At 46.0% G+C, this 27574-nt stretch overlaps 1 protein-coding gene across 4 annotated transcripts in view, besides 1 other annotated feature; it reads left to right on the top strand.

The window, feature by feature from the left end:
- VSTM4 (V-set and transmembrane domain containing 4) overlaps window positions 1-8428 on the top strand; it is a 101287-nt gene extending 92859 nt beyond the window's left edge. For 3 of the 4 annotated variants that reach the window (NM_001031746.5, XM_047424711.1, XM_017015827.3), the window contains one exon: window positions 2889-8428. In NM_001031746.5, coding sequence (NP_001026916.2) covers window positions 2889-3014 — 126 coding nt within the window. In that variant the 3' untranslated portion in view covers window positions 3015-8428. The remainder of the gene's footprint in view (window positions 1-2888) is intronic. The other variant, XR_001747052.3, reaches the window with a different exon arrangement.
- Window positions 10489-10744: a silencer, noted in NCBI's record as "fragment chr10:50219965-50220220 (GRCh37/hg19 assembly coordinates)". NCBI's record gives its function as "represses an EF-1alpha promoter that drives an FKBP-Casp9 reporter gene in an ReSE screen in HepG2 liver carcinoma cells and K562 erythroleukemia cells {active_cell/tissue: HepG2 | K562}" and the evidence as "EXISTENCE:reporter gene assay evidence [ECO:0000049][PMID:32094911]".

Raw genomic sequence — 27574 nt, 5'->3', positions numbered from 1 at the left:
AACAGGGTTTTTGTTGCTTGTAAGATATGGATGACTAAGAAGAAATGTAAAGACTTTTGGTGTCAAAAGGCAAGCAGAAGGCTCCCATCCCTATAAATGATCTTAACTTTGAAATTGAAAAATTGCTAGACAATTCGTCTAGGTCACTTGGCAGTCACCCCCAGCAGAGGTGCTGGCTTGAAGAACTCTTTGTAACTCTCCTTGTCTATTACTTCCCGTGCCTTTTTGGGGTGCATCATCTCAAAAGAAAAGAAGTGTTTTGCTTTTGGCATTCTTTTTAAGAAACTTAAATTGAATGAAGGTGGTTTAGTTGTTTGGAATTTCCACCAGATAACCAGGAAATAGGCATACAAACTTTTTTTAAAAAGTCCATCAAACAACAACAAAACCAAAGCCAAAACCAAAAAACCCTAAGTCTGACATCCTTATAAAGAGCAGAGGTGCTTAAATGAAAATGTCTGTGTGACTATAAATTCATGACCAACTTTTATTTTTTTAATTATGGGTTAAAATTAATTAATGCATTGTTAAATAAAAAAAAATAAATGCATTAAAAAATGCCTACTACAAAATCCAAAAGGTAACAACAAATGTACACAGTGAAGGCTGAGTCTCCCTGCAGCTGTTCAGGTTACTTCCCTAGAAAGAGCCATGGTTAATGTGCTCTCCATTTTCTGAACGAGTGCCGAGAGTTCCCAGGATTTTCTAAGTATGTAAAATATGTACCCACATATTTACTTACATACACGCATACATGCATATTTACACAGGATATGATAGTGAAATATAAAGTACACATATAGCTCCTCCCTCATTCTTAAAGACTGCACCGTATATTGCGTTATACGAATGCCCCCATCTCCTACTGATACCTATTTAAGTGTTTACAGTTATTTGCTTGTACCAAGAAAGACTCCCACCCATAGTATAGGAGAGGACCTCTATGTTTTGTCAACCTTTTTTTTTTAATGTTTGGCAACTTGAAAGACAAATAAATGATGTCTAAGTGTGACTTTAAGTGTCGGTTTTCTGATTATGAGAGGGTGAGTATCATTTCATCTGTGTCCGAGATGCTTGCATTTTTCTTTCCCATGAACTGCTGGTCCTGTCTGTTGTCCTTTGCCAGATTTGCTAGTGGAAACTTGATTATTATCTTTGTTGAATTGCAAATCCCTTTAATATGAGATATAAATATCTTCCTCATTTTTTCAGTTTTTTTAAATTTTATTTAGAGACTGTTTTGCCATGTGTAGCATGAAAATGTACACACATCTTTTTTTCCTTTGCTCCTGGGTTTTGTGTCATATGTTAAAATTATTTCCATACTTGGAGGCTATTTTTAAAAAACTCCCCACCTATTTTGTAGTACTTTTATAGGTTTATTTTCCACATTAAAATTTTTAATTCATTTGGAATTAACCTGGGGTGAAGAATGATATAAGGATGTGATTTTTTTTTTCTCAAATGGCTGTCCAAGTATTCCAACAGCATTTATTGAAAAATAACTTTTAGGTTTAATTGTTAATATCACTAGATTTGAATAAGCAATTATTCTTTATTTTAATAATATTCCTTAATCATATTAAGAAAATATATGTCTACACCTACTTCATTCAAAAATTGTTTTAAACAAAAATGTGTTTTTAATTGTATTAAGTACCTTTCTAGCATCTATAATCATATGACTTTTCTCTTTTGATCTATTACTATTATGAATTATATTAATAGACTTTTTAATATCAAACCATCTTTGCATTTCTGGAATAGAATAAACTTGAATATGATTATCTATCTTTTAATGTACTTCATTCTCTCTGAGTAAATTTAACTTAAAATTTGTATTAATAAATGATATCCTCTCTTCCTCCCTCTCTCCCTCTCTCCCTCCCTGCCTCCCTCCCTCCCTCCCTCCCTTCCTTCCTTCCTTCCTTCCTTCTTCTTTCCTTCCTTCCTTCTTCCCTCCTTCTTTCCTTCCTTCTTTTTGATGGTACATTCAGATTTCCTGGAGTTAATGTTTATAATTTCTATTTTTCTGGAACATAATGCATTTTATCCTGTATTTAAAAGTTTTTTCAGTATATTCAGCAAACTGTCTTGTTTAAGCATTTTTAAACTTCCTTCATTTTGTTTATGTCTCTTATCTTATTTTTTATTTTATTCACTTACGCTTTTTCCCTTTTTATCTTGATTAATTTATTTTTCAGTTTATCTGTTTTACTGGTGATTTATGCAGTCTGGGTTTATTTCTATGAAGTTCTTCCTTCTGCTATTCTTTATTTTATTCCTCTTTTTCTAACTGCTTGAGTTGGAGGCCTGATTTACTTAATTCATGCTATTTAGCATAAGTATTTCAGGCCATGGTTTTCTCCCAGCACTGCTTCAAACATAGGCTTTAGGTTTTGGCAAGGAATATTTTCCTTAGCATTATTTTCAAGATATTTTGAAATTATAGTTTTATACTAAGTCATTTACAAAAATTTCTAAGTGGTGGCGTTCTAGTGTTGTTATTAATTTTTAGAATTTTTTTGTTTCCATCTCCACTTTTATATTTCCCTTTTGATCAGAGACCATTAGTTACATTATTTTTACTCTTCAGCATTAAAGTTTCATTTTAGCCTTGTGTTTAGTCATTTTTTTGTGAGTGTTTCATGTCAACTTGAAAGCAAATCACAGGATCTCACTGCAGGACGTAGTGCTCTATAGAAGACAATGAGATCTATCTTATTAATTATGTTATTGGATATTATGTAGCCTCTTAAATTTCTTGTCCACTTATCCCTCGCTGAATCCCAAAATGCTATGAACATGCATACTTGATGAATGAATGTGTGATGTAGAGCTCCTGTGGTCAGCTAGAATTGTGTTTTGTTTTGTTTTTTCTTTTATAGCCAAAGATTGCTGAGGAAAACTTAACCTATGCCGAACTGGAGCTGATCAAACCCCACCGGGCTGCCAAAGGCGCCCCCACCAGCACTGTCTACGCCCAGATCCTCTTCGAGGAGAACAAGCTGTAGTACAGCGTCCACCTCCAAGGTTCTATTTAATACCTGCCACCCAGTGATTTATGAAGCCTTGGAGACAAAGCCCTTATGTCTGTATTTTCACTCATGCCTTCTGAGTGGTGGGGAGCCCCTTTTCAGCAGCATTCTGGGTGCCTTTGAAGAGGTACAAGCCTGCTCTCCCCAAAAGAATCGGGGCCACAGCTCTTGACAGATCTCCCGGGACAAGATGCGCCTGGGTTTGAGCCCTGAGCGTAAGGATTCTGATCCTGAGAGCAGCCAAGGAGATTTTCTGCTGAGCCAAACCCCTTCACATTTTTCTCCTCTTTCCCCAGGTTTTCTTTAAAATCGTTTTTAAATCTTAATTTTACTCTCTACTCTTCCTGTATCCACGATACAAGCTCACAGTATATAGCTAGAGGAAATGCCATTATGGACCCAACTGTAAGATGGCACATATGTTGGTTTTCCAAGGATCAGATGGCATTGCCAGGGCCACAGCCAACTGCTGATTGCCAGCACCACCTGAGATGGCATCTCTTGTTTTAAATAGATGCACTAACCCTGAAGATTAAGGCCAGAGGGGCAGACTGACTAGAGAAGTATAAGGTCTGTCTCTGAATGCCATGGTGCCCACCTATGAGACCCTGAGGCCGCAGGACAAGAAGAACACCATTCTAGAGGGCTTCCAGCCCTTTCACAAGGTGGACCTGTACTGATAGAGAAACACACTCTCTAAGAAGTGCTTACTCACCCTTTTCCAAAGGAGCACAGGTGTTGGCCATCAGAAGACACACTGGAGCGCATGGGCCTCTTCACTGTGTGCCAAGCTCAGTCACCTCTGATTCAGCCCCTGAAGGTGTCTGCTGCCAGGTGCCCTCAGGGTAGGAGAGTGGGAAGTACACGCCAAGCTGGAAAGTGTGTTCTGAAGACCCTCCTCTTGCCAAGTGCCTTGCCCATTGCAACCTTGTGTGTGAATTCTAATGGGTTTGAATGGGGGTCAGGGTGCATGGGGAAGTTGCTCTGTGGACCTTTGGGACACAGGAATCTTGGACTTACTGGCAGGGGATCCATTCTGAAAGCACCATCCTGTCAACTGTGTTATTGAGGACATTTCTTGATGTGAGTATAGTCTGGGTGGCTATTTACTGCCCACTATAGAAATTGTTTGACTATGTAGTGGACCATGTATATATGATAAATTATCTATTTTAAACACAGCTGGGGTATGAGTTGTGCCCTCTATATAGCTGTGTGAACTTGGCTAAATTTCTTATCCCCTAATGACCTCAGACTCCATGTTTGTGTAAAGACGACTTAACTTCCCATAGAATTCTTGAGGGTAAAATGGGATAATGAATCTTGCCAGTTCTAGAAACTGTAAATTGCTACACAAATGCTCTGTGTTGACATTCATGCTAAAGCCAGTCTGCATTTTCAAAATGAAAATTTCTTCACTATTTAAGGCTTTCATTGCAATAACTTTAAAAACCAAATATTTGTCCACCAACTTAGCCCTACAGTAATGTTCCCAAAGACTCATGAGAGTTTATGGTTTATTGGAAAGGGTCCAAATTGGAAGCAGATATTGATTTTCTGGGAGCAAACTGGTCTGCCTTTACAAAGTGGAAGTTCACCCTCTCTGGATAACACCTGTGTCTCATTCCTCCCTCTCTGCCAGATCTCGAAGGCACTGAATAAACCATGCAGCTTTTGAGGAAGAAAGAACCATTTGGAAGAACTCACTAGAACTTCTTTGAGCATCTCTTTGGGAGGGGAGGATATATGGTTAGCACACCATTTATATAATAATTATCACAGGGATTTTTAATTTTATCATGGCAGTGTTCTGACAGATGTATAGTGTTTTGAGGGCAGAGGATGATCTCCTAATTTGCCCAAAGAGCCTTATGGGTTTGTGGGGCTCTGGGGGTGCCAAATGGGAAGGAGAGGGGGCACATGAAAAGGAAATGGCGGGAAGAGGGCAACAGGCCAGGGGGTAATATCTTCCCAGGCCCCTTAGGCCTCTACAGAACGGAAATGAACTTCATTCACCCCCAAACCCACCCACTTAAATCCAAAGAGAGCTTAGGGTTATTATGCATGGACAGGAACACATTCTACCAAGAACACATGCTCTTAAGAGCTAGTAGCTCCCAGTTAGAGTCAAACCAGTCATTGTTATATTATAGATTGAATCCAGCCTCTTTCTCCCAAACTGTGGTCATCACTGCATGAATCCACACTAAGGTGTGTGAATGGGAACCTGCAGATTATCTCCTCCTACTGAAAATGCTGCCCAGGGGAATCTTGGAAGCTATGGACAGCATCCAGGCAGAGCTGGTCCCACTGTTATCTCCAGAAGCAAATGCCCAAGCTGTGCTCAGAACTGGAAGCAATGGATGACTTGTATCAGGTGCTTGTTTGAGAGGATATATTGACATTATTGCCATAGTAAGCTTAAAAAAATGTGCCCACTCATTCATTCTTTGTCCATGGACCACTAATCATGCATTGTCATTTCCAAAGATAAGGGGAAACATATCACATATCATTGAAATAGAAATTAGGGAAAGTTTGTCAATTTGTTTTCACTATAAGGCATCAATGGCAGAAACTACATATGAGTAATTTTCAAAATAGACCATTGCTTAAATGTTTAAATGAAGCTAAAAGAAGTATGAACCCATTGGTTAGAGTGCAGTGGCTTCTTTCAGGCAGACAGCAGATGCTCTCAGATTTGGTGGTGAGTTTTGGCCTTGGCATGGTTGGCATGGAGTCAGCACAGGAAGCCGGGAGGTATGAAGGGGCATCCACCTGGGTGAAACTGTCTTGCCAAGCCAAAGCCCCGAGGCCTGCCCTGAAGCAGCTGTAGTGGAGGAGAGGCCTGGGATTCCTTAGAGTCACCTTTTTACGAATGTACCGCCACTCTGTTAGCTCACAGGGAAAATAAGGAAAAGCCAGGCCTCCCACCTCTTGACTCTTGTGAGAGTGAAGACAACATGGGGCATTTAGAAAATATATTTTTAGTGTATGATAATGTGGGCTGGCCCACACAGCAATGAGCCCAAAGACCCCCTCGCTTTGGGAATTATTCATGGCCCTGCTCATCACAGCCTCTGATATGCATGACTGTAACCTAGGCTGAGCCAAGAATGGAGCTCATGCCAGAAATGGTCCTAAGCATGCACATGGCCCCCTGGAATATCAAAATCCTGGGGAGAAAGAAATCATCTTTGCCTTGGGCAGTGAAGCTGGAATGGCACATATCTATCTGTTGCCACATCTCCTGCCTAGTGGAGAAGCCTTGGAAGGCAACAGACACTGAGCAAGCAGCAGGGAGGAGAATGTCCTGGAAGGGCAGGACTCTACCCAAGTCCCTAACATCCCCAGACTCTTCTCTTCCATAAACTCTCTAATTACTCTGCTGTTTAAATCCTGGTTTTGGTCAAGCCAGTCAGGTTGCATAAAGAATATGAATACAGTATGCATCAAAGTTGCTTCCCAGAACAGGAAGCAAAACAAACAAACAAACAAACAAACAAAATACTGATATCAGTACCCAGGGTGCCCAATTAGGTCACACCCAGTGGCTGCATTGCAGCCCCTGAGCTCCTGCTGCACCGTGTGTCCTGCTGCCCGAGTGGGCCCCACCCTGGGTTCTGAAGATGCCCTTCTTAATGGAGAGCTCCCGATGGAGGGCTCCAGGACTGATGCTCTCCCTAAGGAAGGGAGGCCTCAGATTTGGAGAGGGACACCAACAGGACCAGAGGAGGACTGAGGGGCACTGGCACCAATAAGTGGAAGGGAACAGCGTGGTAACAAAAAAGAGCCATGCCACTTGCATGCTGGAGGGAGTCTTTTTGTGTCAGCCTAAAGCTTAGGCTGGTGTCCATGTGGAACATGACATCTTTCCAGTATCCCTGATCCAGGAAACTGCAGTGAGACCCAGGTGACCCAGCTCTGTGTCATTTGGAGCCCATTAAAAAGTGAGGCAGCCACATGGCGGGGACATTGACCCCACTCCAGACCACACTCCCATCTCCATACATAGGATAGAAACTGTTCATCAGGAAGGAAAACCAAACAGAAATTCGTGGTCTAGGGGAGGGGTCTGCATTCAGCATGGCCATGCTGGGCTGGAGTGGCTGTGGGGTGTCCAGATAGATGGGCATGTAGACTAGTGCTTTCTCAACCTTTAATGCATGCACAAATCATCGAGATCTTGTTAAAATGTAGATCCTGGGTGGGCACGGTGGCTCACGCCTGTAATCCCAGCACTTTGGGAGGCTGAGGCGGGCGGATCATGAGGTCAGGAGATCGAGACCATCCTGGCTAACACGGTGAAACCCTGTCTCTACTAAAAATACAAAAAATTAGCCAGGCATGGTGGTGGGTGCCTGTAGTCCCAGCTACTCGGGAGGCTGAGGCAGGAGAATGGCATGAACCCGGGAGGCGGAGCTTGCAGTGAGCCGAGATCGTGCTGCTGCACTCCAGCCTGGGCAATAGAGTGAGATTCCGTCTCAAAAAAAAAAAAAAAAAAAATGTAGATCCTGGCTCAGGAGGTCTGGGATAGGACCTGGGATTCTGAGTTTCTAACAAGCTCCCAGGGATGTCCATGCTTCTGGTCCCTGAACCACACTTTGAGTGACAAGGATGTAAACTGTTGGAAACATGGATCTGGTGCTCATTGCGGGAAAGGGGGTGTCCTCAGGGCATAGGTCACAGCCAAAGCCCTGACAGCGGGCAAGAGTCCCAGGGAGAGGCTGCCTGCACATTGAGGAGGGGAAGGGCTGGGCCTGAGCAGTGGGGAGCATCCATGCTGGCAGGTATGCAGCAGGCAAGGAGATCCAGGTGGAGATCAGAGGACAGTGACAGTCACAGCAGCAGGGGAGAGCCAGGAGAAAGCTGCTCCTAGGGGTGTCTCAAAGGAAGAAGGGATCTGCAGTGTGAACTCTGCAGAGGGCAGGGAGAATAGAGGTTAAGCCTTTGCTCATTCTGAATTAATTGATTACTGCTTTTTAAAAGTGCTTTCTTTCTCTGGGAAAAAAAAAACATTCCCCAGTGCCTAAGGCTAACAGACGTGGGCGCTGAGCTGTGTCTGGTCTGCTGAGTGTATTTTCCCCAGAGCAATCCTCATCTTCTCAGGGGGTGGGGATTTGGACAAGACTCTTCCTGAACACGCAGCGTGGTGGGGAAGGGTGGCCATGGAGGTTTTCTGTTCCTTCTGTTGTCACTGGTGAAAGACGACTTGGTGCCCAATTTCTAATAAACACAATGCTATTAGCGTCACTCCAATTTAGTGTCTGATTGTTAAATGTTAATGTACTGCACTCTACAGTTTTAAATATAATTAGAGATGTTTACAGCTTTGGTTAAATGCACCTTGTTCTTCCACATTAAACTTTATTACAAGCGTCCTCCATCAACAACGAGGAGAAAGCTCATTAGTAGGTGGTCTGTATGGGGTTCTGGGCTGTGCTGAAGGAATCAGCCTTCTGTTTTCCTTTATGACAGCTTTCTACATGCTGGGGGCGGCCAGGGTGATTACTTCCTGTTTATGTGTACACTTAGTACCTCAGACTCCTGGGTCTGTGGATGGATCTCAGGGAAGCCAACAACACCCAGGAATTTTTATGCAGACGTTTGTGTTGTGTGTGTGAGGGTCTGATGTTCTCTTCAGTTTTCTAAAAGGGGTCTGTGGTCCACAAAAGATGGAGACTTTAGAGAGGGTCCTAAGCCAGTGTCCTGGCCACAATGGACCCAGAGAACATCATGAGGAAGCTGGGCAAACTAAGGAGATGGAAAGGTACCTGCCAGCCTGGCGACCTCCCAGGCATTCTAACCCTAAAACTGCCCCTTGCACTGAGCTCTGGCTCCAGGAAGCCTCTCTGCTCCCACCCTCACTCCTGCTGGCTGGAAGAACCCTGACCTCTTGCAGGGCTGATCTTTGGCTCAGCTAAGGATTGGGGCTCCCAATCCTCCCCTTTGTGGGGTCTCCTCCATCTCTTTTCTCCCTCAGCCCATGTGTGGGTTCCCAGGTTCTCACAGTACCCCAGTTCTGAGTGCCCTGTGACTGCACCCCAGCCCATTTCATAGTCAGTTTGGAATTCCTTAAAATGTTGTAACTGAAATCAGGTTCTCCTGCTCACTGCTTGGAAGCCAAACTTGAGAGACAAGATTTAGTGGAAGGAAAAGCAGGCTTATTCAAGAGCTGGCAGCCTGAGGAGATGGCAGACTAGTGTTGCAGAGACCATCTCAAGTCAGTACAAATTCTAGGCTCTTTTTATGTTAAAGACATGACCAACAACTGCTAACATCTGGGCACCAGCGAGGGTCCAGGAAGTTGGAAACTCCTTTGTCCTTGGTCAGATCACAAAGCTCCTATAAACCTTCAACGAAACATAGTTGTTTACATACTTCTCCTTTAATCCCAGAGTCAGTTTCAAAAACTACATGATTGCTGTTTTTGCATTTTATCTCAGTGCCCTAAAATTATCCTAGCCTACGTGCAGGAATGGATAAGGGCTCCCTTAATTGAAAATGGAGTTAGTTGTGTTAGTTCTTTTGCTCTTTCATTCTTACAATGTCTTGTTCCTGCTTCCTCATTCTTCCACCTCATCAGGATTCATTTCTAGTTTCCTTGGGGTTCTCCTTTACCATGTAACCCCTCATCTTTTTTGCACATTCAACTTCTCCTTCTATCTCCAAAATGACAAGTGTTTCTCAACCTGCACAGACCCCTCCCAAGCCACTATTCTCCTCTGGTTCCTTCTCTCTGCAGCCTGGAGTCTACACTGCCTGCTCCCTGCTGTCTGTCTCTCACCCTCTGCTGGCTGCCTTTGCTCCCCCTCCCCTGAACTCAGCTCTGCCCAAGCCCTCTGGGGTTCGCTGCTGAGCATGTGTTCTCTTGCAGAGAATGTCTTATTTTCAACCACTGTTCAGCTGTATCCCGAGGACCCCACCTCCACAGCCCCCGTGGAGCCCTCTCCTGAGCTCCATGTCCACCCACGAGCTCCCCCCTTGCAGCTCCCTCATGACTCCTGGAAGTATACACCCAATACTGAATGCATCAGAGCACCCTGCATCTCTTGATACCCAGCCATCCTGGTTAGGGCTCCACCGCTCACCCCATGGCTAAAGCTGCAAATCTAGCATTGGAGATATGGGCCACCGGCAGCAGCAGTGGAATCACTGCTGACTTATTGAAAATACCAGGTGCCTGGCACTGTGGTAAGTATGTTTTCTGTCTTATCTCATTAAGCCAGTGCTACTCTATGCCAATTTGCAGATGAAGAAGCAGAAGACCTCAGCTAGCTGGCCCAGGATGGCAGAGCTGGAGCCCTCCTCTCTCCTGTCCATCTCCCCTGCATGCCGGCACCTCCCCCATTGTCTTCATTCACATAGCTCCTGCTTCCCATCAGCTCTGATCACCTCTCTCATGGACCACCACTCTGACTCCTGACCTGTTCCCTGCCATTTAACCCACCCTCCGACATGCAGACTGGCCGAGTTACCCCTGCCCAACATCCTGCCCCGACTGCCCTCAGGATGCCCAGCACCTCGAGGAGTAGCAAGGCCCTTCATACCTGGCTCCCGCCTACCTTTCTGCAGTTTCCCCTCTGTGCTGTTGACCCAGGCCTCGGTGGCTGTGAGCTGCCACCTTGGAAGCCCAGCCCAGCGTGGTGTGGAGCTTCACGGTTGCAAGAGCAGGCCTGTGCTGGGCATGAGCGTGTCCCATGGCAGTGGCAGCATTGGCCATGATCAGAGCCCGTGGTGCGCTGCAAGCAGGCCTTGGGACTGGTGAGATCCCCACAGGCAGCCAGCCACCCAGCCCTGTCTTCAGCAGCATCTGGAACCGGAAGAGCAGGAAGCCCAGGTGGGGTCCCATGCTCTCCCAACCCCAATCACCACTGACATGGCTGCTGGCTGTGATGGCAGCCCCTGTGGCAGCACAGAGCTGGCAAGTTCAATGGGAAGTGCCTCAGCCCTCAGGAGGCAAGCAGCAGGTGAGCATAATAAGGACTGACCCCAGGGATACCTGGGAAGATGCCTTCTGGGTGTTCTTTGGCACGTTAATGGAAGGACAATCAAAGAAAGGCCCTGGCCGGGGAGTGGGACTCAGGAGGCCCTCGCTGTGCAGTGGCAGATTTTATCTCCACCCCCAGGTAGCAGTGCAGGCCTTCCCAGGTGCCAGAAGATGGTGACTTGGTTTCCAGGAACATGACCTCTCTATAGGATGTCCTCACTAAAAGAGATACTAGAGGTTGTCTACTTAAACTCCCCTTTCGTTCCCCACCATTTATACAAAAGACCACGATTTAAAGGAGAGTTTAGGTAACAGAGATGCAGGGTGGGCATCAGGATCTGGACTCAGGCTTTCTCTGCCCCTTCCATAGCTCCTCATGCCCTGGCTCTTGTCTGTGGCCTCCCTGCCCAACCCTGGAGGACAGCTGAGGCCCAGCCTTCTCCAGCAGGGCTGGATGGGAGGATTCATTGGAAGGTGGCAGCTGGGCACCTCCCGCTGAAAGAAGCACAGTCAGCCATTCTGGGAGTGGGAACTGTCTCCTAGATAAGCTTAGCTCGCTCAAGGGACATTTCAGAGGTCAACGTCAGTTCCGTAAATCTTTGCTGAGCTCCTACTATGTCAGACACTGAATTCACATGGTATTCATGTGTTCACATAGAAGCACACCAATAGGCAAAACATCCTATGATGGTTACTGTTGCCAGAGTATCTTCTGCTTGCCAGACATGGTGCCAGGGACTGCATGGCAGCCCTGAAAGGCAGGTGGCATCATTGCTACAGGATAGCTCTGAGAAATGAGGCTCAGGGTCATCCTAAGAGACTTGCCAAAGGCCACACTGTTAGTTGCAGAGCTGGATTCAAACTCAGAGTTTCCCAGTACCAATCCTGTGCTCTTCCTATTATGTCATAGGAAGTATGAGTTATATCAGAACCAAAAGACATTCTGGTATAAGAACCTAATGAGAAGTAATCCCGAGGTGTCCAGGAAACTAAAAGGAGGAAGGAGTTAGGATAGACTCTCTGGAGGAAGTGTCTGTCTGAGTTGAGCCCTGGAGGAGGGGCAAGAATCTGCCAGGAGGCAGAGGGCGGGGACCTTCCTGGCCCATAAAGACCAGCCAGTAGGGCCAGCCCTGGTCAGGGAGTGGGACTCTTCTGGGGAAGCAGGCCTCTTCTGGGGAAGTGCCAGGTCCCAGAGAGCAGGAGCATTTGGCCCCTTGGTGGCCAGCCCACCTCGGGGACTGTAATAAACAGTGGACCCAGAAGCTACCTGGGAACTGAGATGGGCTGAAGGGATTTCAAGTAGTGAACAAGCGAAGAGGGCTCTGGTGGCTTCACACTGTCTCTCCAAACCAGCTCACAAGGTAGTCTTGTTCCAGGATGAGGAAACTGAGGCCATTTAGAAGTTAGAATACATGCTACAGTGAAAAGGATACTCTGGTATGCCTACGGTGTAGCCAAAAGAACAAAAAGATTAATTGCAGAGAAAGGTTCTGTGCTTTAAGTCCTCTCTAAATCCAGGCATTCTTCACACTCTCATCCCCAGTGAAGGGGTCTGGAAGGCCCAGTTACTTCTAGCTTCTATTTGTTTTTCTTGGACAGATTGGGAATCTATATGAAAATTATTGTCCCCATGGTTGATTCCAGATATCTCAGTAAAGATGGAGACAGTTGCTAATGTACAATCACCTGTTTATTTCCACCTGACCATTGACAGAACGTGACTGGCTGGAAGAGATGTCAGTGAGGTTATTCACCCAGGGTTTGGAACTTCTTGAGTTAACAGACATGGGTATGCAGAGACACTGTTTTCTTGACCCCTCAACCCTGGAGGCTTCTCCTGTCTTATCTCAATCTGGACAGCAACCACGCTACTTGAGGCTGACACCACCATCTGGGGGCAATTCCTGAAAACCTGCAGAGAGCCTTGGCTTCACCTGTCCTTCACGTGCACCTGCCCTCCATCATAGCTCCGTCATAGCTCAGCTGGGTTTTTTGTTGTTGCTGCTGTTTTTTGTTTTGTTTTGTTTTGTTTTCATCTCCTCTGCATTCTTGCACATTCTCTTCCTAATCCAACCTTGCTCCAAATCTCTCTCTGTTTTTATTTCATTCTCTGCCCCTCCCTCTCTCCCTGTCTCGTTATTCTATTTGCAAGTAAAACAATAATATGTGTCACATGCAGGCTGTAAACTAACAGAGCATTCCAAGCTGTGCTGTCTAGCTTTGGCACCAGACTCAGGACTGGATTTCCCAGCAGGGGCTTGGTGTCTGGAGTTGTTTCCCCTCACACGCCACGCCATTTGCTTTCTCTTGCTTCAGCTATGGCTTTTCTTACTGTAGGGTGAGCATTGGGTTTAGGGTCAGAAGCTCTGGTCCAAAACTCGAGTCTCCTTTTCCATGGCTCTGTGTCTTTGAGAAGCCACTTGAGCTCTCTGACCTGCAGCGTCCTCATTTGAAAAGTGGCTAGGGCCAACAGGACTGTTTACAGTCACCTTCCCATCTGGAACAAATTCGTCTCCAGGGCAGAGGGCAGGGGCGGGTGAGGATGCTGCAGGGACATGGGGGGCTGCGCCCCAGGGCCAAGCTGTCCCACAGTCCTGGAGCTGGGAGTAGTCATGCTGGGAGTTAGAGAGCCCAGGGCTGTCTCCCTCATCAGCTTGCTCTCGGTGTGGCCTGGAGATAAAACCCTCGGCTCATTAATGTCATATGACCTGTGTGAACACATGGAGCACTGTGCCCGGCACAGAGGCCGTTCCACAAGCTTCAGCTCCCGTCATTGCCGGGGACCTTCCCTGACACTGGCGATCAGTCCCCAGCTTCTAGCAGGGCTTGTCTGGCAGGGTCTTCCTTCCTTAGACTGTTCTTCCTTGGGGAACAAGGTCATTAAAGGATGGCTTTCTTCTCTCCTGGGGACAGTGAGGGCAGGCCCTGTCAGCTGGGTCACCACACTATCCCTGCCACCTGTCACAGAGCTACTACCTCACACTGCTTCTCAATACTTAGAAATACAACCAACTGCGGAGAAGGACTGGGAAGGTGCTTTGAAAATTAAAAAACAAAAACAGAAAGAAAAACAAAAACAAAACAAAAACCACAACCCGCAAGGCAGGGATTTCCTTTTTTTTCCCTATAGATTTTGTTTCTAACTAAAGGCATCCAAATTCTCTACCCCAAACCACAACATTGTCCAGAGCTTCCACAACTCAGAAAAAAAAAAAAAAAAAAAGCACTGCTATGTTTATCCTGTTGGCAGCCCCCTCTGCCAGTTTCCATCAAAGACCAGCCTGAAATAACACGCTTGTCTGGGGGTGGGGACATGGCTGAGGTGGCTGGCAGCACCCTCTGCTGTGGTGGGGCCAGGGTGGCCTTGATGGGAATTCTGAGTGTTCACACCTTGGGGCCCTGCAGAGGCTCCTTCTCTGTAAAACAAGAAAGAGCTGGCACATTTGTACAGAGAAACACTGGACCAGTGTGGACCAGGGAGCCAGCTCAGGGCTAGTCCCACACACTCAGTTCAGCTCTCCCCAGCAGCATCTAAAGGCACCCCAGGCCAGGCGTGGTGCCTCATGCCTGTAATGTCAGCACTTTGGGAGGCCGAGGTGGGTGGATCACCTGAGGTCAGGAGTTCAAGACCAGCCTGACCAATATGGTGAAACCCCATCTCTACTAAAAATAAAAAAATTAGCCGGGCATGGTGGCATGCTCCTGTAGTCCCAGCTACTCGGGAGGTTGAGGCAGGAGAATTGCTTGAACCCAGGAGGTGGAGGTTGCAGTGGGCCAAGATCACGCCACTGCACTCCAGCCTGGGCAACAGAGTGACACCCTGTCTCAGGAAAAGAAAAAAAAAAGAATAAATAAATAGAGGCACCCCAGTCAGAAAACCACAGCTAAGATCTTGGGTCTGGAGGAAATGTCCTCAACTTCCTAAGAAGAAGCCTGGCCTCAGTATCTAGATAGTTTCAGGCTACTGTGTACAGGCTTGAACTGATTTTTAAAAAGCAAAAGACAAAATTTTATTTCATCCCAGCTCTGGAGCAAGGTTGTGAGAGCCACTTATGTTTGTAAGCTGCTTATAGTTTGCAAAGTGTGTTCCTGGTATATTGTATTTTTCCCCTGAATTCAACACATACATATTTTAAGTACTCTCTCCGAGGAAGGACCAGGAGTTGGTCTAATTTCAGCCCATTCTAGGACTTCCTAGCTATTTAACGAAGGCAGGGGCGTCTCCTGCTGCCTCCTTATACCCAGACAGGCTTACCCCCTCATGCTCTTCATCCATATCAAGTTGCCTTTCATCCTCCAGTGACACCACATCACTGTCTGCCCTGCAATCTGTGATGTTCAGACAGGCTCTGTGTTTTCTTCTGAGTAACTGTGTGACTCTGCAGCTCACACACTGACATCTCGAAACAGAGAGAAGTGGAGCTTTTAAACATGCACAAGGCCAAGTCAGACCCATGCAGAACAGATGACCTTGCATCCACCCTCTGAGCGCTCCAGTACACTGCATGTGCCCCTGCCGGGTTGCCCCCACTAGGATACATGTTTCCCTGTTTTTATTTTTTGTTTGTTTGATTGTGGTAAAACTTACATAACATTTACCATTTTAACTGTTTTCAAGTGTACAGTTCAGTGGCATTAAATGCATCACATTGCTGTTCAACCACCTCTGCCATCCATCCCAGAATTTCTCCATCATCCCAAACTGAAACTGTCCCCATTAATAACTCCTCATCCCCCTCTACTCACCAGCTTCTAGGAACCACCACTCTGCTTTCTGTTTCTTTTTTTTAAAAAAATATTTTATTTTAAGTTCTGGGATACATGTGCAGGATGTGCAGGTTCGTTATACAGGTAAACATGTGCCATGGTGCTTTGCTGCACCTGTCAACCCATCACCTAGGTATTAGGCCCCGCATGCATTAGCTATTTATCCTGATGCTCTCCCTCCCGTGCCCCACTGACAGGCCTCGTTGTGTGTTCTCTTCCCTGTGTCCATGTGTTCTCATTGTTCAACTCCCACTTATGAGTGAGAACATGTGGTGTTTGGTTTTCTGTTCCTGTGTTAGTTTGCTGAGGATAATGGCTTCCAGCTTCATCCATATCCCTGCAAAAGACATGGTCTCATTCCTTTTTATGGCTGCATAGTATTCCATGGCGTATATGTGCCACATTTTCTTTATCTAGTTTATCATTGATGGGCATTTGGGTTGATTCCATGTCTTTGCTATTGTGAATAGTGCTGCAATGAACATACACGTGTATGTATCTTTACAATAGAATGGTTTTATTTCTATACATTTGCCTATTCTAAGTGCCTCATTGTAGCGAAATCAATATGGGGTTTATCTTTTTGTGCCTGGCTTATTATTTCAGTTAGAATAATGTCCTCCAGGTTCATCCATGTTGTAGCATGCATCAGAATTTCCTTCCTGTATAAGGCTGAATAATATTCCATTGGATGTACAACCACATTTTGCGCATCCATTTATTTGTGGATGGACATTTGGGTTGTTTCTGCTTTTGGCTGTTGTGAATAGTGAGGTTATGAACATGGGTGTGTAAGGACCTGTTTGAGTCCCTGCTTTCAAAGGGTGCATGTTTCCTAAGAGTCATTTCATCATAAACAGCACATGGCCTCTCATAGACCCAGTGCCCTATAAATGCAAGGGGACTTCAAAAAGTTTATGAGAAAATTGAATTTTTATATATATATATATATATATATATATATATATATATATATATACACACTTTATTTTTCAACATAAACTCCATCAACATCAAGACACTTTTGTAAATGGTGATACCAGCCATTTAATCAGCCTAAAGAACTGAAGATCCCAAGAGCTTAACCATGTCAGTGCAGTCTTTTACCTTATTAAATGAAGAAAAATGGATGCTCTTTACATATGTTTTAAGATTAGGAAAGAAAAAGAAGTCAGAAGGAGCCCAATCGTGGCTGTAAGGTGGATGCCTAATGATTTCCATCAAAGCTGTCAGAAAATTGCTCTTGTTTGATGAGAGGAATGAGCAGGAGCCCTGCCATGGTGGCAAAGGACTCTCTGGGAAGCTTTCCCGGGTGTTTTTCTGCCAAAGTTTTGTCTAACTTTCTCAACACTCTCATAATCAGCAGATGTTATTGTTCTTTGGCCCTCTAGAAAGTCAACAAGCAAAATGCCTTGAGCAACCCGCAGAACAGTTGCCATGACCTTTCCTCTTGACCCGTCCACTGTTGCTGTGACTGGTCCACTTCCACCTCTTGGTAGGTGTTGTTTTGATCATGCTTTGTCTTCAGGATCATACTGGTAAGGTCATGTTTCATATCCTGTTACGATTCTTCAAAGAAATGCTTCAGGATCTTGATCGCACTTGTTTAAAATGTTCATTGAAAACTCTGTTCTTGTCTGCTGATCACAATGGTTTTGACACCATGGAGTGGAGTGTGCTCAATTTTAATTTTTCTCAGAGTTGTATTAGCTGAGCCAGTGGAGATGTCTATGATGTTGGCTCTTGTTTCTGCTGTTAATCATTGGTCCTCTTCAACGAGGGCCCAAACGAGATGAATTTTTTTCCTCACAAACTGACGTGGATGGTCTCCTGCTGCAGGCTTCATCCTCAACATCGTTTCATCCCTTCTCAACACGAGTTATTCATTTGTTAACTGCTGATTTCCTTGGGACACTGTCCTCATAAACTTTTGTTAAAGCATTGATAATATCACCATTCTTTTACCCAAACCTCACAATAAATTTGATGTTTGTTCTTACTTCAATTTTAGCAAAATTCATGTTGTTCTCAAAGGGATTTTTTTTTCTTTTTTTTTAAAGACTGAATTATCTTTCTATTTGAGGTTGTATAATAAAATTGTTGTCACACAAAGGAGCAATCAAAGAACATACAGAAAAACATCATTTTTTATGGCTGCATAGTATTCCATGGTGTATATGTGCCACATTTTCTTAATCCAGTCTATCATTGTTGGACATTTGGGTTGGTTCCAAGTCTTTGCTATTGTGAATAGTGCCGCAATAAACATACGTGTGCATGTGTCTTTATGGCAGCATGATTTATAGTCCTTTGGGTATATAGCCAGTAATGGGATGGCTGGGTCAAATGGTATTTCTAGTTCTAGATCCCTGAGGAATCGCCACACTGACTTCCACAATGGTTCAACTAGTTTACAGTCCCACCAACAGTGTAAAAGTGTTCCTATTCCTCCACATCCTCTCCAGCACCTGTTGTTTCCTGACTTTTTAATGATTGCCATTCTAACTGGTGTGAGATGATATCTCATTGTGGTTTTGATTTGCATTTCTCTGATGGCCAGTGATGGTGAGCATTTTTTCATGTGTTTTTTGGCTGCATAAATGTCTTCTTTTGAGAAGTGTCTGTTCATGTCATTTGCCCACTTTTTGATGGGGTTGTTTGTTTTTTTCTTGTAAATTTGTTTGAGTTCATTGTAGATTCTGGATATTAGCCCTTTGTCAGATGAGTCGGTTGCAAAAATTTTCTCCCATTTTGTAGGTTGCCTGTTCACTCTGATGGTAGTTTCTTTTGCTGTGCAGAAGCTCTTTAGTTTAATTAGATCCCATTTGTCAATTTTGGCTTTTGTTGCCATTGCTTTTGGTGTTTTAGCCATGAAGTCCTTGCCCATGCCTAAGTCCTGAATGGTAATGCCTAGATTTTCTTCTAGGGTTTTTATGGTTTTAGGTCTAACATTTAAGTCTTTAATCCATCTTGAATTAATTTTTGTATAAGGTATAAGGAAGGGATCCAGTTTCAGCTTTCTGCATATGGCTAACCAGTTTTCCCAGCACCATTTATTAAATAGGGAATCGTTTTCCCATTGCTTGTTTTTCTCAGGTTTGTCAAAGATCAGATAGTTGTAGATATGTGGCATTATTTCTGAGGGCTCTGTTCTGTTCCATTGATCTATATCTCTGTTTTGGTACCAGTACCATGCTGTTTTGGTTACTGTAGCCTTGTAGTATAGTTTGAAGTCAGGTAGCGTGATGCCTCCAGCTTTGTTCTTTTGGCTTAGGATTGACTTGGCAATGCAGGCTCTTTTTTGGTGCTATATGAACTTAAAAGTAGCTTTTTCCAATTCTGTGAAGAAAGTCATTGGTAGCTTGATGGGGATGTCATTGAATCTATAAATCACCTTGGGCAGTGTGGCCATTTTCATGATATTGATTCTTCCTACCCATGAGCATGGAATGTTCTTCCATTTGTTTGTATCCTCTTTTATTTCATTGAGCAGTGGTTTTCAAACTGATGTCTGATCCTTCTTAGTGTCTCAAACTAGATGCTGTTCAAAAATGTTATAATGAGTTATTATGACTTTATTATGATGCAAAAAATTTGAAATGCATCATAGTTTTTTCATCATAAGCATTTTCTACGAGCTTTGTGAAAACCCCTCATGTGCCCGGGCTGCTGTCATTGCCATTCCTCGCCTTTCAGGAGCACGAAGTCCCACACTGTGGCAATGAAGATGTCTTTGGAAGTCAATGTTCTCTTTGAGGGACATTTAGAAATTGTGATATATTCAATTAATGATAACCAAGGATAAAATTTAGTTACTAAATTAGTCACTAAATTAGGTATCTAATTTGTAATTAAGACCATTCTATTTATCTAACTCAATGATAAGGTGGGATTGAAGTGGCTTGAATGAGAAAAGCTGCAATATTTGGTTTTTATAGTAGAACATCCTAGTAGGTGTTTGAGGTTTGTACCTGATTTGGATCCTTGAAGCAATGCTATGTGAGCCCTGAGCGGGGAAGGGCTCAGGGGTCTGGTGAAAGTGACCAGCACATGTCAGGCCCCTGTCTGGGCCTGCTCCGTGCTCAGGGCATGGCTTTCAGTGCAGATCTCCCTTCCTGGGCCTGCTGGCTGCACCCTCTGCTGCTTCACTGCATGTGGCCAACCTGGGGCCTCAGTTTCCTCACCCACAATGCTCTGACAATGATGGCATCCTTGAAGACTTTTCTGAGGATGAGGCAGAACTGCACAGTAAGCCCCTGCGCAGGGACCAGTCCACAGCCGGTGTGGGCTGGGCAGTGGTGGCTCTCCCTAGGCAGCCGGGATTCTGGGTGTCGGAGGCTTTCCTCTGCTTCCCTGTGCTCCCTGGGTCTTAATGGCTGCCTGGGGCCTCTGGCGGGGGCTGCCGGGTGGGAGCCTCCCCAGCAGATCTCTGCTCAAGCGATGCTAATTGTGCCTGAGAGAACGGCTCACTAGAGTGGAAAATAGTCCTCATATATCTAGCTGAAGACGATAATGACCTTTTAAATAACAGAAGCAATTTTATTTCAATACCTCAATTACTCTGAACTCTCAAATGTCAAAGTGCTCGGCACTTTCAAAATAGCTTAATATAGACATTTATAGCACTTAGACACAGCTAGTTTCTTATCTAACCTAATTATGTGTTGTACAGGAAATGGCGAAGCTCACCAACTGTGTTATTTTTCACAGTGATCCCCACGCACGGCCCTGGGCTCTGCCTGGAGTCGGCCAGGAGAATTTCTCCCCGGCAGAGAGTGCTGCTGCTCTGGGAAGAGGCATGGTTGGGGCTCTGCCAGGGGCATGACCTCCAGCTACAAGGGGAGAGGAGGTTAAAAGAGGCCCTCCCAGTTCAGTGAATGTCAACAGCACTGTGCCCTGACTCGGGATGGCTCTCACTTGTGTGGGGTGCGAGGGCCCCTGGGACCAGAGGAATGGCCAGGGAGGGGGCCAGGGTAAGCTGAGGTGGGGTGGGTGGGGGCACTTTTGCCTTGTTGGGCAAAGCCAGGAGCCACCTTCTCAGGATGTGAGATAGAGCGAGGCCAGGATCACCTGGTGTGGCCGGCAGCATTTTCTGCTCCCGCTTCCCACTTGTGCCTGCCCTTCTCCATGTCTGCACCAGAGACCACCTGGGTGAGTGGCCTTCTGTTTCCCCCCATTTCCTCTCTGACCCAGTTCCTGCCACTCTCCATTACTGCCCCGAATTGCAAGCGCCTCCCTGCTGCTTCTCAGAATGGCCCCTGCCCCAGGAATGGCACTGCTCACTCCGGCGCCTGGAATCTTCTCCCAGGACTCCCACATGGCCACACCCTCATTTCTCCAGCTCCCAGATGCCACCTATTGGGGAGGCCGTCCCTGACCACCTTATCACATTTTCTCTCCCCAGTGCTGCCTCGCCCTTCCCTGCTAGTTTAGCATTTTGTTTTTCTTCCTTAGAGTGGCGCCTCACATACGCGGTTTGATGCTTCTGTATTTTTTGTCTGTCTCTCTAAGAAGAATGCAAGCAGATTGCAGGCTGGGGCTTTTGCTTATTATTCACTTCTGTATCTCCAGTGCCAAGGCATAGTAACCACTTAATGAATACATGTTGAGTATATGGTGTATGTGTTAAGGGAGGGAGGGAAGGAAAGAGGCCACCACTCCAGGTTGTGATATCTGTGAAGGGGGTGGGCAGCCCAGGGCTCCAGCCTGGCCATGGTGGGTGGCTGGGTGACAAGCATGCTCTGCAAGGCCATCTTCACCACTTACTGGCTGGGCCAGGCACCCAGCTAGGGGAATGCACGCATTGCACTCTACACATTTTCATCTTCCAACGGGATTGGGTATGCTCATTGACATTTTACAGACACAGAAACTGAGGCTTGGAGAGGTCACACAGGGTTCCACGAGTTCCTCAGCTAGAGATATGCAAAGCTGGGACATGAGCCGCAGTCTGTTCTGTTCCAAAAGCTGCATCTTAGCCACGCTGGGTGCTCCTGGCTGGTGTGGCTGCTATGAGTCTGCCCATCTTGGCAAGGCCTCCACTGGGCCTGCTGACTTCCAGGCCTCGTGTGCCCTGCCCAGGCCCTGTCTCAAAAGGGCCCCCCCTCCCCAAGGGGACCAGGCAGCAGCCCCCTGCTCCCAGCACACTACCCACTCTGTCTCTTGGCATCTCTGTCCTTCTCTGCTTGCTCACCCGTGCCCAGCTCTCATGCCTGCTGTCCCCTGGCATGTGGCACGGCACAGGGCTGGAGACGCCCCTGCTGAGATCAGCCACAGCAGCGCTGCCTGCAATGACCATTAGCCTGCCCTTGGCAAGGTGCTTTGTAGTGATGTGGAGGCCTCCTTTCAGTTTGTCATTCATTCATTCTTCATTCATTCATTCGATCTGCCTTATGGAGCACCCCCATGGGGCCAAGCCTCACTAGGCAGAACAGGCAGGGGAGACATAAACAGGACGTGATTTCTGATCTTGAGGCCCTCACAGATGCATTGGGGAGTCAGAGAGCGTACAGACATGGTCGGTTAGTGCTGTGGTGCAGAACCTCCTCTCCCTGAATCCTCTTCCCCTGCAACTCAGGTGGGATGAGCAGCCTTCCTTGGGCAGCTTATGGGAAGAGGCAGGGCAAGTTCTTATGCCCCCTGTGGAAAGGATGCCACCTCCCCACACCCAGGACCCTACTGAGGGAGCTGGGCCCCTCTACTGGTCCATGGCCCCTCTGCCACTGCAGTGGGCTGGGCCTGGCACTGGCACTGCAGCAGGAGTCAGGCAGGGTCCCCCATGTTGGTGATCGGACTGTCCACAGGGAAGCAAACACAAAGTACCACCCCACTCCTCACCCCCCACTAGGCCATGTCTTATTCAGGTGGCCTGTGTGAGGGCAGTGGGAGCACAGGTGAGAGAGGGACAGGGGAGGAAGAGGGAGGGTCATGTCTCAGAGCCAAGGAAAGGACCCTGGAGCTAAGAGTCCCACCTGGAGGCTCAGCACTGTTGGAATTCCTGACCAGGACTTGGAGCTCTTTGCGGCAATATGGTGTCAGTTGGGGAGATAGACTCCCTGAATCCAGGCCCTCTCAGCTTGGACTTGGCACTCAGCATCTCTGAGCATCAGTTTCACTGGCTGCAATGCATGAAGATGAGATGAGATAGCATGCATCTATGCCCTTCTGCCCTGCAGCTCCCAGTCCTCTGACAGGCACCCCTCACCGCCTTCCTGGTGTGTCCCACATGTCCCATTTCACGGGGCACCAGCTCCTGCACAGTGCTCCTCACTAGATGTGAGCTTTTCATTTTCTCCTGGTCTGCCTCCAGGACTAGATTGTAAAATCCTGTGGGCTGGGGCCTTATCTTCCTCATTCACCCTTGTACCTTGGCACCTAGGAAGACAAGGTGTTTAATAAATAATTATGAGTAAATGTAGAATGAATTGTGGAGTGGGTTGCTCCTGCAAATTATTTAGAAATGTGTGCAAATCATAGCTCTAAGGAGCCTAGGTCAGGGCAATGCTGTGAGTGTTCTCTTTTTACACCCAAGAAGTGAGGATCACAGCGAGATGAGGGCTTCTGCACAGTCCCCAAGCCCTGAATCTCCCTGAGGTGTTGCCCAGGTTTGTCAAATAAAACAGGATCTGGGGCAAGTCTAATATTGTCCACACCTGAAGTAGCCTGCAAAAACAAAGCAGTAGGAAATGACAGGCTCTGCTGCAAACTGGAAAGGCTATCCAAGTCTCTCCAAGGCTTTCAACCCCCAAGTAATGACTCTCACTGTGTAGCCCAAACAGAATACACTTGCAGGCTCTACCTGGTCCCCCAAACCACCAGTTTGTGACCCTGCTGTGGTCCAGCGGCCCCAAGAGACTGGGAGGCTGGGTGCCCCTGCCCCAGCTGCTGGGGGTCGTCACCACTGACCGCCGAGACTCAAAGGACCAGGTGAACAACTGGCCAATCCCTTGCTCACCACAAGCGTCTTAAGAACTGAGCCCCCCCAATACTGGTGAGAAGGATTCTGCTTACTCTCACCATGTGACACCAAAGTCCCCAGGCTCCACCAGGGAGCCTTGAGGGAGGGGTGGGAATGTCCCTCCTCTATGAGCTGTATTCCCTACTGTACAAGGGTGGGTTGTCCAGATAGGGCCCTTCAGTTCTAGGACATTGTCTGGGGGTGTCCCATGCCCTCAGGATCTGGTTTTCAGGATCCTGAAGGATGCTGCATCTTCCTTGTGAATGTCACATACCTCCACCCCCTTGAGGACCCCACTTTTGCACTGGACATGCTGCTTGAGCCCCCTCTGACTGCTCTGCATGTGCCCCTCAGTCTTGTTGAGCCCCAATCACACTGTGTTTCCCATGGGGAGAAGGTGCCTCTCCCCACCTGGAGCCGAGTTTGCTGCCTTGGTCCCTGAGTATCGAGCTTGTGCCCAGGGCTTTCCATGCTCTTCGCAGGGTTGCCCTGGGAACTTATTCAAGAACAGGGGCTGGAAACCACAGTCCCATTTCAATATAGCCCCAAAGCTAAGAATGGCTTTTGTATTTTTAAATCTTTGGAAACATATCAAAAGAAGAATAATATTTTGTGACATGTGGAAATGATGCAAAAGCTCGGTGTCCACAGTAAATAAAGTGGCATCAGGACACAGCCGCCCTCATTCACATATGCATTCATGTGTTGTCTCTGGCTGTTTTCATGCTCTGAGGGCAGTGTTGATCTTTCTGGAAACTGCCAAACTGTTTTGCAAAGTGTGGGTATCATTACACATTCTCATCTGCAGTTTAAAAGAATTTCAGTTTCCCCGCATCCTTGCCAACACTCAGTATGGTCAGTCTTTTTCATTTTAGCCCTTTTTATAGAGTTGTGGCATGTCATTTGGTTTTAATTTGCATTTGTCTAGTGATAATTATATTGAGCAGCTTTTCATGTGCCTGTTTGCCTGGATATCTTCTTTAGGAAGTGTCTGTTCAGACCTTTTAAATGTTTCTTTTACTGTGCTATTATTACTAGATTTGAGAAGTTTTCAATATAATCTGCATACAAGTCCTTGGTTAGATAAATTATTTACAAATATTTTCTCTCTGTGCTCAACTTTTTCTTTTGTTAACAGTGTCTGTGATGGTTAATATTGTCAACTTAATTGGATTGAAAAAAGTATTGATCCTGGGTGTGTCTGTGAGGGTGTTGGCAAAGGAGATTAACGTTTGAGTCAGTGGGCTGGGGAAGGCAGACCCACCCTTAATCTGGTGGGCACAATCTAATCAGCTGCCAGCAAATATAAAGCAGGCAGAAAAATGTGAAAGACGAGACTGGCCTAGCCTCCCAGCCTACATCTTTCTCCTGTGCTGGATGCTTCCTGCCCTGGAATCTCAGACTCCAGATTCTCCAGTTTTGGGACTTGGACTGGCTCTCTTTGCTCCTCACCTTGCAGATAGCCTATCGTGGGACCTTGTGATCATGTAAGTTAATACTTAATAAACTCATATATATATGTAAAATAGCTTATTTTACATATATATAATAGTTTATTATATATACATATCCTATTAGCTCTGTCCCTCTAAAGAACCCTGACTAATACAGACTTTGGTACCAGGAGTGGTTCTAGAGGAACAGAATATTAAGGATGGAGTTCTTTTGTTGGTTTTGGGATTTCTGGAGTTGGCTGCTTAATATGATTAGACCCAAAAATGCTAAGGACTCTACTTGTAATAGTATGGCGAACACTGATAGTCCTTGGCTTGAACTGTTAAGAGAGTTATGCAAAATAAATGCATTTGACACTCCTGATTCACCGCTCATGAGAGCCAAGGAGTTTAGTGACTCTGTACATAATACATTTGACTGTATGTGGAAAACCAGGGAACATAGTTAAGCTGGTTGGTTGCTCCTAAGTTCAGTGGACAAAGTGATCAAAGAAAATGAACTCAGGGATTCTGCCTCCTGGCTTTAGAAGCAGATACTGAGCCTCAAATCTGCTAAGATTGCCCTTATCTCTTATAGAGAAAGAGCTGAAATTATGGAAAAACAGGCACAAGCTCTTATTATGCAGGTGGGTGACCTGCAATAAAAGGTGCATGCAGGCATCTACTGTTAAAATGAAGGCATTGATTGGAAAATAATGGGACCCTGCAACTTGGAATGGGGACATGTGTGAGGACCCTGATGAAGCTGGGGACATTGAGTTTGTAAACTCTGATGAACATTTCTTGCCAGAAGAAACAGCTTCCCCATCCCCAGTAGTGGCAACATCCCCTCTGACCCATGCTGCCATCAGCCTTTCACCTTTGTCTAAGTAGATAAACCCTGCACTGCCTGAAGCAACAGTGAGGCCTCCCACGAGGCCGTTGCCAGGCAAAATAATGTTGATTCTCCTCAGGAACCACCTGCAACACCCCGTTTGCTTCTAGACCTATAACTAGACTAAAGTCCTGGTGGGCCCCTGGAGGTGAGATTGAGAGTGTGACCCATGAGGAGGTGCACCTCCCTGGAAAAGAATTGCTTGAATTTTCTAACTTATATAAACAGAAATCTGGACAACAGGCATGGAAATGGGTATTAAGTTTATGGGATAATGGTGGAAGGAACACAGAGTTGGATCAGACTGAATTTATTGATTTGGGCCTGCTAAGTAGGGACTCTGCTTTTATTTATTTATTTTTATTTTTTATTTTATTTTATTTTTTTGAGACAGAGTCTTGCTCTGTCACCCAGGCTAGAGTGCAGTGGCGTGATCTTGGCTCCTGCAAGCTCCGCCTCCCGGGTTCATGCCATTCTCCTGCCTCAGCCTCCCGAGTAGCTGGGACTACAGGCGCCCACCACCAAGCCCAGCTAATTTTTTTGTATTTTTAGTAGAGAAGGGGTTTCACCATGTTAGCCAGGATGGTCTCGATCTCCTGACCTCCTGATCCTCCCACCTCGGCCTCCCAAAGTGCTGGGATTACAGACGTGAGCCACCGTGCCCAGCCAGGACTCTGCTTTTAATGTTGCAGCTTAGGGAGTTAAAAAAAGATTCTAATAGTTTATTTGCTTGGTTAGCTGAAATATGGATTAAAAGATGGCCCACTGTGAATGAGCTGGAAATGCGTGATCTCCCTTGGTTTAATGTAGAGGAAGGGATCCAAAGGCTTAGGGAGATTGGGATGGTGGAGTGGATTAGTCACTTTAGACCTACTCATCCAAAGCTGTGAGGGTCCAGAAGATATATCCTTGACCCATGCCTTGCAAGATAGATTTGCAAGGGCAGCACCTGCATGTTTGAAGAGCCCCGTAATTGCTCTCCTATGCATGCCAGATCTAATGGTGGGAACCACAGTCACTCATCTACAAAATTTAAATACAATGGGAATAGGTGGATCCCGAGGGGGCGGAAGCCAAGTGGCGGCACTCAATCATCAAAGGCAAGGTGGGCATAGCTACCATAATGGACAGCAGAGGCAAAGCGACAATCAGAATAGCCTGACTCATGTAGAACTCTGGCACTGGCTAATTAATCACAGTGTACCTAGAAGTGAAATTGATGGGAAGTATACTGCATTCCTACTTAATTTATACAAGCAGAAAACTTCTATGGACAAAGGACTAATTTGAGTTATAAAAACAAAGAATCACAGCCTCTCAATCAATTTCCAGATGTAAGCCAGTTTACAGACCCATAACCCCTTGAATGAATGGAGGCCAAGTCCCCTTGAGGAAGGATCCCACTACATTACTGACAATTTATGCAATGAGTCTTTCTCCCATCCTTCCCCAAGGAGACCTCTGGCCTTTTACCAGGGTAACTGTGCACTGGGG

Source organism: Homo sapiens, chromosome 10, assembly GCF_000001405.40.
Source record: "Homo sapiens chromosome 10, GRCh38.p14 Primary Assembly".
Lineage (NCBI taxonomy): Eukaryota > Metazoa > Chordata > Mammalia > Primates > Hominidae > Homo > Homo sapiens.
This window is presented reverse-complemented; position numbering and strand designations above follow the sequence as displayed.